We start from the raw sequence: 14,329 nt of genomic DNA, 5'->3' as shown, positions 1-14,329 counted from the left end.
GAGCTAAATGCAGAGACCTACACCATGCCTGGCATTTGATACTAATGCCTGAGTTACTGAAGGGCCCTGTGCCCACGGCCAGCATTTAGTGGGTATACATGAGTAAGCTATATGAAGGGATCTATATCCTTATTCAGCACTTAGTGGGTACAAATGAGAGCTAAAAGTATGGACTTGTACCTTCACCTTCGCCAAGACACTTTGAAAATAATTACTTTTAAAAACATTGTTTTAAAGTCCCAATTACATTTATTGAAATTCAATTAAGATTTAAATTTTACAATAAGTGATGCTGAGTGTGTGTGTGCTTGTGTGTGTGTGCTTCGTGTGTGTGTATGGAAGTTGTTCATACTCTTCATTCCAAACAGCTATACAACATTAATAGCCTTATTTTATGAAATAAAGATTGAACATTATAGTTGTTTTACATATAGCTAAATTTCTTCAGTTTAACCATAAATAAAAGCAACTATCCATGTATATTTTAAAAAATTTAAAGATATAACTTTATATCTTCTATCCCCAATCTCCCTTTGAAAATATAAATACAGAACAGAAGTTAAAATAATATAAGAATACATTAATACTTCCATATTACTAACATCTCATAGAATTACCACATTGATTTTTCACAAAAAATGCCAAATTGACAATTATACTTCTCAACTATTTATTTAAAGAAATTTAAAAAAATAAACAGATGAAACTTCCACATTCAGGTTGTGTCTCTCTGTGTTCTGAAAAGAGATCACCCAAAGTCCGTGATCTCATGGACTGAATAACCAAAGCTGTATATATATTTTTATTTCCCGAGTTTCCATTAAGAAAGCTATATATTTAAGGCATAGTTCTATGAATGGAAACAATTGATACTTATCCATTAGCAAATGTGGTCTGTGTCCACCCACAACCCTCAGGTGTTTTCATATCACTGCCTGCTTCAACTTTCAATTGTAAGATTGAAAGTTGTCTTTAGCCTAAAAGTCCTTACTATAAAATATGTGTGAAACTTCATAGATCAATTTTGTACCTCTTTGGCTCAAGATTGTTCAGAAACCCCAGAAGGCTTCTCTACTGGTGCTAGAGTTTGAACAATCCCTGAGAGCACTCTTCAATCAATGATTGGAATAGTGGCGGTTACTGTATATGTAACCAAACTTTCTTAACCTCTCAGGTGTGAAAACTCTGAGGTATGTGTTCCACGCCATTTCCCAGAGATCTTCCACGGGATTCCTTTCCAGTTGCTCACTGTGGCAGATGCCTGGATAAAGTACCCTTTATCGATTTCTTCCCCTTCCCTATCTCACATCCTGTCTTCCCTACATCTGTTAATTGAGATCACATAGCAAATATGGTACTTGGATTTCAATCCTGATTTCAAGATCTGCATCTGAGGAAATACAAACCAAGATATTTACAATGCCATTTCCCACAATTTCATGCTAATGATCTATTCCTTTAAAGGCAAACACAAATTATCAATGTCTGGTTATGTCTCTAGTTATAACAGGTACATCTGTATATAAATATTACTTATATGAATACTATATTACTTATATATTATCAATGAAATCACTATCATATATAATCTTATGTATTATATATTACTGTGTAATATATATGAATAATTTATATAAGTATAAAGATAAAGCATCATATATTTTATGTTAGATAATTCTGATAATCCTCACATTTTCATAAACTAAGATTTATCATATCCACCAAGGGAAAGTTGAGCAGATTTAGTACTCTCTTTGAGTGGCACCGCTTTTTGTAAAACAGACTAAATAAGTAAACTTTAGTCTCAAAGTCTCAAAACTAGCACTATATATCTTGTTTACTAGTGGGAAAAGACAGCTTTTAACAATTTTAAATTTGATTTAATGGAATGGGAAATTATGAAACTTGTGAACAAGATTATTGAGGTTTGTTTGGGCTAATATTTAATTAACACGTTCTTTAAAATCATCATTTTTATTTCCAAGTGAGGCAAAATGAAGATAATATAGTTGCAAACATTGACTTAATGCTTAAAATCATTCATTTAAAAAAGATGATAATGCAAATAATATTTTTTATTTGGATAATGCTTTAATGATTTAATGGTTCCATTTATATAATGTTCTAGAAATTACAAGATTAGTGGTTGTCAGGGGTAGGGCAAGAATTACAGTGTTGGATATGCTTAGCACAAGGTAACCCTTTATACAGAAGGTGGGGAAGAGAGTAGGCATATAGGTGAAGCAGAATTGGCCATAAGTTGATGAATGTTCATACTGGATTATTAGTGCATGGTGATTAATTATGCTCTCTATTTCTACACACATTTGGAATTTTCAATAATAAAAGTAGAATTAAGAAAATCATGATTTCTTAAACGTTTCAAACTCAATTTTCCCTACATAAACTGTATCAAATTGTACCACTTCAGGCTAAAAATGGCATATTCTCTGTTGTTCCCATGTAACAACTTGTTCCCTCACATAAAATCTTTAATTGCACTGCCAGTAATTTGTCAAATCAACACAGAGAAATCAGGCACAGGTTTTGTTGGTAAAGCCTTCTGTTAATTGCAGAACTGTCTACTGTATGCTAGATAAAATGAATATAATTTTAAGTTGAAAATATTTTTAAAGATGCCATTTAATCCCCTTAAAGCAAACTGAAGCAAGTACAATATGATCACTTTAAATTATATATCAAGGCTGGGCGTGGTGGCTCACGCCTGTAATCCCAGGACTTTGGGAGGCCGAGGCGGGTGGATCATGAGGTCAGGAGATCGAGACCATCCTGGCTAACATGGTGAAACCACATCTCTACCAAAAATACAAAAAAGTAGCTGGGCGTGGTTGCAGGTGCCTGTAGTCCCTGCTACTCGGGAGGCTGAGGCAGGAGAATGGCGTGAACCCGTTAGGCAGAGCCTGCAGTGAGCCGAGATCGTGCCACTGCACTCCAGCCTGGGCAACACAGCGAGACTCCGTCTCAGGAAAAAAAAAATTATGTATCAATGTAGGCAACAAGGTAGGTGCAAAATGTCAACAAATGCTTTTTCTTCTTACTACCTAGATTGTAAGGACTCTTAGAAAGATGAAAAGAATAGAAATAACTTCCTCAAACAATATTCAATATTTTGTCTCTGTTAAATAAAACAATAAATTTTTTCTGCCTATGGCACTGGCTAATTATTGCTTGACTGAGAAATCTAGAAATCGCTTTTGTACCAGGAGTTGTGTGTATATGACAACATGCTTGTGTGCCAATGCTACTGAAAGTAGACAGTGGTAATAGATACCTTTTTAGAAGTAGTTTGAAAGTTGTATTTAGCCTGAAAGCTCTTACTATAAAATATGTGTGAAACTTTATAGAGCAACTTTGGTTACTGAATAAATGTTCAAAATTGTATTTACCTTAACTGTTAATAAAATGATGACTTTAACAGATAATTACTGGCTCACATCATTTTTTTTTTCAATTCAAAATAAATGTTATATATTATTCCTTTTTTTTATGTTAGACTTCAACATCTTGCCAATACTCTGCCTTAATTAAGGGCTCCAAAATCCCTATCTCAAATAACTTAAAGTTAATGAAGTCCTTGAATAGGTATGTTACAGAAAGTGATACATAACTATACAAATCACTTTACAGTCATTATTTGTCTGTTCTAAAGTTCCTTAATATGGAAGGAAAGTATTTTTTTTAACTTTCCTCTAGTGTTGACAACTGTTTGTTATATACCATACTTAAAATTCTGCTCTTTGACAAAAGAAAGGTAAACCAAGATGTAGCAGTTGAGATAAGTTGATTTTTGCACAGCAAAATTGTTATTCTTTATCTGTCACCATGTAGTAAAACCTTTTCTTGCTAGTTTATTTAGTGTCTTTAGTTGCATCAAACATCCTTGGCTATTGCCCTTATAGAACTCACCTGTATTACTAATGTTGCTTTATATTTCCTACAGTACATTTTAGGTTTAAATCCTACAGTGATGAGAGTTCCGTTTGTGTTAAAAGGAAGAAGTTCTCCAGCCTGAGGTTTTACAAAAAACTCCAGATCGCTGCCAGGTAGGAAGTGTGCGGTGAACGGCTCAGGATTTCTGGAACAAAAGTACAAAATTCAACTTAGTAAATTTCGTCATTACTTCATTCTCTTTGTGAGAACTTGATGAGTAGAATTTGAATCCTGCTGCAATAGGCCTGGTTAACATTAATGCTGAATGCTTACCAAATAATAGTGAGGAGGCATTTTAAAAAAAATTACTGAAGTCATTCTTCTCAGGGTGACAAAATGAAATTCTAAAGATTCTTAAAATCACATCTTATAATGCACAAAGAGGCTGGGCGTGGTGGCTCACGCCTATAATCCCAGCACTTTGGGAGGCCGAGGCAGGTGGATCACCTGAGGTCAGGAGTTGGAGACCAGCCTGGCCAACATGGTGAAACCCCATCTCTACTAAAAATATAAAAATTAACCAGGCACGGTGATGTGCGCCTGTAATCCCAGCTACTCAGGAGGCTGAGGCAGGAGAATCGCTTGAACCTGGGAGGTAGAGGTTGCAGTGAGCTGAGATCATGCCATTGCACTCCAGCCTGGGCGACAGAGTAAGACACAGCGCAGTGGCTCACGTCTGTAATTCCAGCAATTTGGGAGGCCAAGGCGGGTGGTTCACCTGAGGTCATGAGTTCCAGACCAGCCTGGCCAACAGGGTGAAACCCCATCTCTACTAAAAATACAAAAAATTAGCCGGGCATGGTGGCTCACGCCTGTAATCCCAGTTACTAGGGAGGCTGAGACAGGAGAATCGCTTGAACCCGGGAGGCAGAGGTTGCAGTAAGCCGAGATAGCACCATTGCACTCCAGCTGGGGCAACAAGAGCGAAACTCCATCTCAAAATAATAATAATAATGCACAAAGAAAAAAATGTTGAATCTATACAAATTGGAACTATTCAATGTCCTTAATGGAAATTTAGGCATTTGTAAATTAATCCATACATAAAATGACTGACCAGCAAAGCTATCATAATACCTTTTGTTTCCGTTTCTATTCCATGGCGATATTTACTCATCTTCCCTTTAGCTTTTCACTTGCTGAGTGAAATGAAAGCACTTTATAATTTCATTAAACATTCTTGGGCCTGAAAATGGGTTGTTATGATCTGAAGTAAATTGAGTGACATTTAAGATTCAAGTGACTATCTTTATGTCAAGGTTGACTATACTTGAGATAAGGATTGCAAAATAATTTGAAGAATTTCTTGGTAGAATACAGAAGAAGAGCGGAACACTGCATGGAAGTTTTGAGAAATTTAAAATTCAAATTGACAGGAGTGATACTCATAAAAGGCCAAGTTCAGCATCCAAAAACAGATTCAACAGTGAGACATAGGAGAGGATGCAGAAAGGATTCAGGCTGGAACTCACTGATCTATTCAGCAAATATGTATTGAGTATCATAACAGAAGGTTTGAGAACATGGACTGCGGATTGGAACCATAGCTTTATTTAGATGGATGACTTCGGGCAATTTACTTAACTTTTCCCTACTTTAGTGTTGACATCTGTTAAATTGTTAATAGTCACTGCAAAGCGATTAGATTAATGCCTGACACACAAAAAGTGCATTATAAGGACTAGCCAATAATACTTTAGTCATCAGTATCGCTGTTGTTCTTATTTTAAAATATTTTATTACCAGTGCTAGGCTATGATGAATGATACAATAAATGAGAATGAATAAGACAGGGCACCTAAGGGAATTACATCAATAAAATGGCAGAACAGGAACTCCCAGACCTTCCTTCCACAAATGAAGACACAAATTCAATAACAGTCCCTTTTGTGAGAAATCCAGAAACCAGTTAAGAGGCTTTTGTAGCACAGTAGAGCATACATTTTGCAATCTACCCATCTGACAAAGGGCTAATATCCAGAATCTACAAAGAACTTAAACAAATTTACAAGAAAAAATCAAATAACCCCATCAAAAGGTGGGTGAAGGATACAAACAGACACTTCTCAAAAGAAGACATTTATGCAGCCAACAGACACATGAAAAAATGCTCATCATCACTGGCCATCAGACAAATGCAAATCAAAACCATAATGAGATACCATCTCACACCAGTTAGAATGGCGATTATCAAAAAGTCAGGAAAAAACAGGTGCTGGAGAGGATGTGGAGAAATAGGAACACTTTTACACTGTTGGTGGGAGTGTAAACTAGTTCAACCATTGTGGAAGACAGTGTGGTGATTCCTCAAGGATCTAGAACTAGAAATGCCATTTGACCCAGCCATCCCATTACTGGATATATACCCAAAGGATTATAAATCATGCTGCTATAAGGACACATGCACACTTATGTTTATTGCGGCATTATTCACAATAGCAAAGACTTGGAGCCAACCCAAATGTCCATCAATGATAGACTGGATTAAGAAAATGTGGCACATATACACCATGGAATACTATGCAGCCATAAAAAGGATGAGTTCATGTCCTTTGTAGGGACACGGATGAAGCTAGAAACCATCATTCTCAGCAAACTATTGGAAGGACAGAAAACCAGACACCGCATGTTCTCACTCATAGGTGGGAATTGAACAATGAGAACACATGGACACAGGAAGGGGAACATCACACACCGCAGCCTGTCATGGGGTGGGGGGAGGGGGGAGGGATAGCATTAGGAGATATACCTAATGTTAAATGATGAGTTAATGGGTGCAGCACACCAGCATGGCACATGTATACATATGTAACAAACCTGCACGTTGTGCACATGTACCCTAGAACTTAAAGTATAACAATAATAATAATAAAACGAACTATATTGAAGCCAGTAGGAAAATTATTGGCACCCTCTTGCCATTATCCCTCCTGCTGGCACAGTGCCACATAATTGGGAAGAAATGCTCAGCTTCTGGCTTCTCTGTAGGGAAAGAAAAAGAAGGCTGGACCAGACATCCAATGTTCTGACTTTACAGGAGAGTGAGGCTGCTCAAGGGGGTGGCTTCTGATTTGCCTGTCTCAGAATGCTGATGGGACTTAGCATGCTCTAGATTTCTGAGGACTACTAAGAACAAAAAAAGGCTGAGTGGTGTGCTGCTGCTTCAGAGGACTAATGGTACAGCAGACAGACACCAGAAGAACAAGAGACTATAACTTTCTGAAAAAAGAAATAAACCAATACATCTCTCTAAATAGAAATATACATGAACAAGTCCAGAAAAGACACATCCACATAAAAGGTTTGCAAGGCCTCCAGAATCTCTAGCCAGGATGATTGGTGAAAATCTTCCCAGTAGAAAGCCAGTCTGTGAAGACTAAGAGAGACACCACGAACAAGCCCACAGCTGGCCTCTGCCTCCACAGAAGTGTCCATAGTTGGCTCCTGCAGCTGAGTGTGTGTACACTGCTGGCTCTAGCCTCATTGCTGCCTGCTCTGGCCTCTTGCTTCTTGACCCAGAGTCAAGACTAAGGATCTCAAGGGTCTTCACAGCCACCATGGGCATCCCATATCTCTTGCAACCATGGATCATACAGTTGCTGATGTTACAGACTCTAGCTGCCTGAGCCAAAGCAATATTAATCTCTCACAGCCTGAAGCTACTGCATGTCACCACACTTAGAACACTACAGAACTAGACCCAGTGCCACAACACACCCCAATGTGCCCTGTTACCCTAAAGGTGAAAGTTTTTATTTACTGAAGCCAATTCATAAAGTCTGGCGAAGATAACTGCTTTAAATGAGCAAACTTCTTAGCAAGGCTAGAAAGATCACGAAGAATCAGGGAAATATTACACCACCAAAGAAACAAAATACTGCACTTTCAACAATGGATAGATCATCCAGATTAGATATCAGTAAACAAACATTGGATTTGAACTACACTTTAGATAAATGTACATAACAGCTATATGCAGAACATTCTATCCAACAGCAGTAGAATATACTCTTCTCAAGGGCCACATAATATTTTTCAGGGTGGATCATATGTTAAGCAACAAAACAAGTCAGCAAATTTTAGAACATTGAAATTATATCAAGTATTCTTACTGACCACAGCGGTATGAAACTGAGAATCTATAACAGGAGAAATTTAGGAAAATTCACAAATACGTGGAAATTAACACGCACCTGAACAACCAATAGGTCAAATAGGAAATCAAAAGGCGTATTAGAAAATATCTTGTTCCCATAACTGCGTGCGCTCTCCCCTCCCATTCTCTTTCCGCCATCTTTCCGCATTGCCACAATGGTGCTCATGAATGTCCTGGCTGATGCTCTCAAAAGTATCAACATGCAGAAAAGAGAGGCAAACGCCAGGTTCTTATTAGGTCATGCTCCAAAGTCATCATCCAGCTTCTCAGTGTGATGATGAAGTGTGGTTACACTGGCAAATTTGAAATCACTGATGATCACAGAGCTGGAAAAATTGTTGTGAACCTCACAGGCAGGCTAAACAAGTGTGGAGTGATCAGCCCAGATTTGATGTGCAACTCAAAGGTCTAGAAAAACGGCAGAATAATCTGATTCCATTGTGCCAGTTTGGTTTCATTATACTGACAACCTCAGCTGGCATCATGGACCATGAAGAAGCAAGACGAAAACACACAGGAGTGAAAATCCTGGGATTCTTTTTCTAGAGATGTAATACATATTTACAAATAAAATGCCTCATGGAAAAAAAAATATATTGAGACAAATGGAAATGAAAACACAACAAAACAAAACTTAATGGGATGCAGCAAAAGTAGTATTAAGAGGAAATCTTATAATGATAAATATCTACATTAAAAAAGGCAGATCTCAAAATAAGCCACTTAAATTATATGAACTAGAAGAAGGACAAACTAAACCCAAAGTTAGCAGAAGGGAGAAAATAATAAAAAATAAGAGCAGAAATAAATAAAATAGAGAATAGAAAAGTCATAGAAATTTGACAAAACAAAGAGTATTTTAAAAATAAATTTTAAATTGACAAACCATGAGTGAGATTAAGATAACAAGAGAGAATACTCCAATAAATCAAATAAGAAATAAAGGGGGAGACATTTCAATTGATTTCTCAGAAATATAAAGGAACATAATGACTATTATGAACAATTATCTGTAAGCAAATTGGAAAACCAAGAAGGAAATGTATATATTTCTAGAAATATATAACCTACCAAGATTGAACTAATAAGGAATAGAATGCTTGAAGGGGCCAATTTTAAAAAAGATCGTAGCATTAATTAAAAGCTTCCCAACATAGAAAAGTTCAGTACCAGATAGCTTCATGGCTAAATTCTACTAAATATTCAAAGAAGATTTAATACCAGTCCTTATTAAACTCTTCCAAAAGATAAAATCTCATTTTATGAGGCCAGGATCACCCTGATACCAAAGCCATACAAAGACAACAAGAGAAAAAAAAACTACAGACCAATATATCTGATGAACATGAAAGCAAAAATCATCAATACAGTATTAGTAAACCATTTCTGCCAATATATTAAAAGGCTCTTCACCATAATCAAGTGGGACTTATCCTTGAGATGCATGTTTTGTTTAGCATATGCAAATCAATCAACGTGATATGCCAAATTAAAAGAAAAAAGCTACATGATCATCCCAACGGATGCTGAATAAGCATTTGGTAAAGTTTAACATCATTTCATGATAAACTCTCAACAAATTAAGTTTAGAAGGAAATTTCCTCTCCATGATAAAGGTCATTTATGAAAAGCCTACTGCTAACATCATAATCAATGGAGAAAAACTGAAAGCTTTTCCTCTAAGGTCTGGTACAAGGAGAAAATGCCCCCTCTTTGCATGTCTATGTAACATACTAGAAATATCAGCAAGAGCAATCAAGCAAGTAAAAGAAATAAAAGGCACCCAAATCAGAAAGGAAGAAATACTATCATCTATCCCTATCTGCAGAGGGTGTGTTCCTATATGTAGAAAACTGTAAAGATTACACACACACACACACACAAACACACACGCACACATGCAAAAACCTGTTAGAACTAATACATAATCTCAGTAACACTGACATTGATGGATGAAAAATCAACATACAAAACACAGTAGCATTTATATATTCTAACAACAAACTCTCCCAAGAAGAAATCAAGAAAGTAATCCAATTTATATAGCATTAAAAAGAATAAAATTCTTAGAAATGAATTTAGCCAAGGAAATAAAATATTTATACACTGAAAACTGTAAAATTTGATTTAAAATATTGACAAAAACACAAATGGGAAAATACCTTGTTTTCATGAGATTGAATAATTAACATTGTTAAAATGTCCATACTACCCAATGTGATATACCAATTTAATGCTATCTATAAAAATTCTAGTGTTATATTTTAAATAAATAGTAATCTGTAAACACTCCAACTAGCCAGAGCAATTCTGAGCAAAAAGAGAAAAGCTGGTAGCATCCCACTACCTGATATCAAAATACATTACAAACCTACAATAATTAAAATAGCATATTACTGTCATAAAAGCAGACACATAGGTCAATAGAACAGAATAGAAAGCCAAGAAATAAACCTAAGCATATGCTGTCAAGTAATTTTTGACAAGGGCATCAAGAACACACAATTTTAAAAGGTTAGTGTCTTCAATAAATGATGTTGGGAAACCTCAATATCTATACTGAAATAAATAAAATTTGACCTTTATCATCTATATTTTGGTCAATGATGAACTGTACATACAATGGTTGTTCCATATGATTTTAATACTGTAGGTTTACTGTGCCTTTTCTGTGTTTAGGTATACAAATATTTACCATTGTGTTGCAGGTGCCTTCATTATTCAGTATAGTAACATCCTGTGCTGGTTTGTAGCCTAGAAGCAATAGGCAATGCCACACAGCCTAGGTGTGCAGTATGCTATACCATCTAGGTTTGTGTAAATGCACTCTATGATGTGTGCAAAATGATGGAATCACCCAAGGATGCATTTCTCAGAACATATCTTTGTCTTTAAGTGATGCATGACTGTACATACAAAAGAAGGAATCATAGTAAATGAATATATGCATATATGCACAAAATAGAATTACTATACTACGTCAGAATATCACACAACACTCGCAGAAATTTATCAATCATCAAAAAATGTTGCCCTAAGTTAGTTTCCCAAATATTCACCAAGATGTTCTAAATCCACAAAATTTTTAATGAGTATAAATTCATATCAAGTTTTCTTTATATGCCATCATTTTTTTTAAAGAAAGTAGCTTTATTGTTATTGTTAGAAATAAATGGAGACTCAGCTGTGGTATAAAAGTGTTAATGAATTAGAGAGGGTTTAAACAATGTGGGCAGCATGATTCACTAAAGACTTCTTAAATTATATGTATTTAGCTGTGTGTTTATATATATATATACACACACACATATATACATATACACATAGATACACACATATATACACATACATATATACACACACATATACACATGTGTGTATATATACACACACATATACACATGTGTGTATATACACATATATACACACATATATACACATGTGTGTATATGCACACATATATACACATGTGTGTATATGCACACATATATACACACATATACACACATGTGTGTATATGCACACATATATACATGTGTGTATATACACACATATATACACATGTGTGTATATACACACATGTGTGTATATACACACATATATACACACATGTGTGTATATACACACATATATACACATGTGTGTATATACACACATATATACACATGTGTGTATATACACACATATATACACATATGTGTGTATATACACATATATTACACATATATACACATATATACACACATGTATACACATATATATACACACATATATATACACATATATATACACATATGTATACACATATATATACACACATATATATACACATATATATACACACACCCAGCCCTACAATTAGTTTTCTTAATGAAAATGCTCATCTACAGAAGATTTTCATTTTATAACAAGATAATTTCTATGTAGCATGATCCCAAATGACTATTTCAAAATATGATTAGCTTATATTACTAGGAAACCATTTGTTTCTAATTCCTATACTCTACCAGAATTGAGTTGGACTTAGTGATAGTGGCCAAGAGATGGTGGATTTCTCATTTCCTAAGATTTACATTATAGTTTTTTGTGTAATTCATAATGCTCATTTATATAAAAACAATTTTTAAATGTTATCACAAAGGGCAGACGTTAGTAAAAAGTAGGATATTCAGAAAAATAAGGATTTTATATTTCTCAAAAGTTTTACTTATTGCTAATCACTTATATGCACATAAAATATTTTAGGAATAGGTAACCTATTTTGATACCTTGAACTCTGTTATGTTTTTATACTGATTCTTCAGAATACTTTGTATTATTATGTTTAAAATTACCCCTGGATACACTAACGCTTTACATATTTAATTTAGGAAACAGAGTAGCTACCACCATGGGGTTTGTCATGCATCTTCGTCCTTCTTTCCTCTCCTTGTATGCCCAGCACACAAGAAAAATGTATAGTCACTAGGACAGGGGGTCGTTCCTTTTCAGAACTTATTTTACTCTTGATTCCTTAAAGAAAAAGGAAATATTACTGGGTTCATGAGGAACCAGTCAAATCCTGAATATAATTAGGTCTGCCTGTTTTCCTATCCTATTTTTTTTCATATACGCCCCTCCAGTTCCCTAGATCTTCAAGATAACTTGAAATTTCTAATACCTTCCTAGGTGTAGCCTCCCAAGGGCTGGTAAATAAGCTAGAAATATTCAGTAGCTTATTTACATCACTGAATCCTCTAAAAAAAGTTTAAAACACACTTAATGTAAGGAAGCAGGTAGTTTCCATTTGCTGTAGAAAATAAACCCATGCGAAGACTTGGAACCAACCCAAGTGTCCATCAATAATAGACTGGATAAAGAAAATGTGGCACATATAAACCATGGAATACTGCACAGCCATAAAAAAGGATGAGTTCATGTCCTTTGCAGGGACATGGATGAAGCTAGAAACCATCATTCTTAGCAAAATACAAGGACAGAAAACCAAACATCTCATGTTCTCACTCATAAGTGGGAGGTGAACAATGAGAACACATGGACACAGGGAGGGGAACATCACACACTGGGGCCTGCTGGGGGGTGGGGGGCTGGGGGAGGGATAGTGTTAGGAGAAATACCTAATGTAAATGATGAGTTGATGGGTGCAGCAAACCAACATGGCACATGTATATCTATGTAACAAACCTGCACGTTGTGCACATGTACCCTAGAACTTAAAGTATAATTTTAAAAAAGAAAATAAACCATGAAGAGAAAGTAAATTCACCTTCTTCTGTAACTTGGTTATGTTACCCATCATGATCTGATCCTTGCCACCCAAAGACTTGCAGCTGGTGACAATACCCAGGAGGAATCTGGACAAAATTTTTTGACTTAGAAGAAGCTAAAAACATTCAAGTTAGCATACTCCACTGTGGCAAGCCTGCACATTCTTTAACAATTTTCCCATAGAAAGGTGGGATCTATGTTCCCTTTCTTAAATCCAGGCCAATATAGTGACCCCTTTGTAACCAATAAAATGTGACTAGAGTGATTGTTGTTGAACTTGTGTGTGTAGGTCAGAAAATGCCATGCATCTTCTACGTGCTTCTCTCGGAATATGCTCTCTATGGAAAACCAATCACAATGTACAAATTCAGCTATCCAGGGCATCCATTAAAGAGTGACTATGTGGAGGCAGTATCAGTCAACATCCAGAGTAAACATCTCCAGTTATAAAAGTAAGTTATTTTGATCATCCAGCTGTGTAAAACCTTCAGATGACTGTAGACATGGCCAACATGTGATTTTAACCACAGGAGTGACCCTATGTTATTAAAATATATCTCAAATCTGCACATTAGAAGCACTTATGGGGGATAATTCCATTTGCTATTGAATCTTTAAAAAAAATCACTCTCCAGCATCAATATTATAAAGGGTATATATAATTATGCCCTTAGAACAAAAATAGAAGAAAATCAAAATCTATACTTTAGAAAATACCCTATTGAGATTTTCAGATTTATCCCTAATTCTAAGTAGTTCATTCAATATAACAGGGCCATAAGGGTTCAATACAGAAGAGTCAGAGTTTGTTTTTTTTTATATTTTGAATGTGTTTTTCATACATAATTGTATATCATAGAATTTCTGACAACTGCATTTATCCACTAGAAAAATGTTTATTGCAATCTAATGAACTAAGTCTACTGTATATTTCTGTAGAAACTGCCCTTGAAC

The 14,329-nt window shown here is 35.4% G+C and overlaps 1 protein-coding gene, 1 long non-coding RNA gene and 1 pseudogene across 2 annotated transcripts in view; 2 read left to right on the top strand and 1 right to left on the bottom strand.

Annotated features, from left to right (window-relative positions):
• Nucleotides 1-14,329, bottom strand: part of CFAP47 (cilia and flagella associated protein 47) — a 465,584-nt gene that overhangs the window by 1,872 nt on the left and 449,383 nt on the right. The window contains exon 63 of the mRNA NM_001304548.2: nucleotides 3,928-4,096. Coding sequence (NP_001291477.1) covers nucleotides 3,928-4,096 — 169 coding nt within the window. The remainder of the gene's footprint in view (nucleotides 1-3,927; nucleotides 4,097-14,329) is intronic.
• The window catches only part of LOC101928627 (uncharacterized), a 74,667-nt gene that overhangs the window by 56,847 nt on the left and 3,491 nt on the right, over nucleotides 1-14,329 (top strand). Inside the window, exon 6 of the long non-coding RNA NR_110412.1 lies at nucleotides 3,962-4,064. This is a non-coding gene — a long non-coding RNA (uncharacterized LOC101928627). The remainder of the gene's footprint in view (nucleotides 1-3,961; nucleotides 4,065-14,329) is intronic.
• RPS15AP40 (ribosomal protein S15a pseudogene 40) lies at nucleotides 8,233-8,691 on the top strand (annotated as a pseudogene).

Source organism: Homo sapiens, chromosome X, assembly GCF_000001405.40.
Source record: "Homo sapiens chromosome X, GRCh38.p14 Primary Assembly".
NCBI lineage: Eukaryota > Metazoa > Chordata > Mammalia > Primates > Hominidae > Homo > Homo sapiens.
Note: the sequence above shows the minus strand (reverse complement) of the source record. Positions and strands in the feature narration are given on the sequence as shown.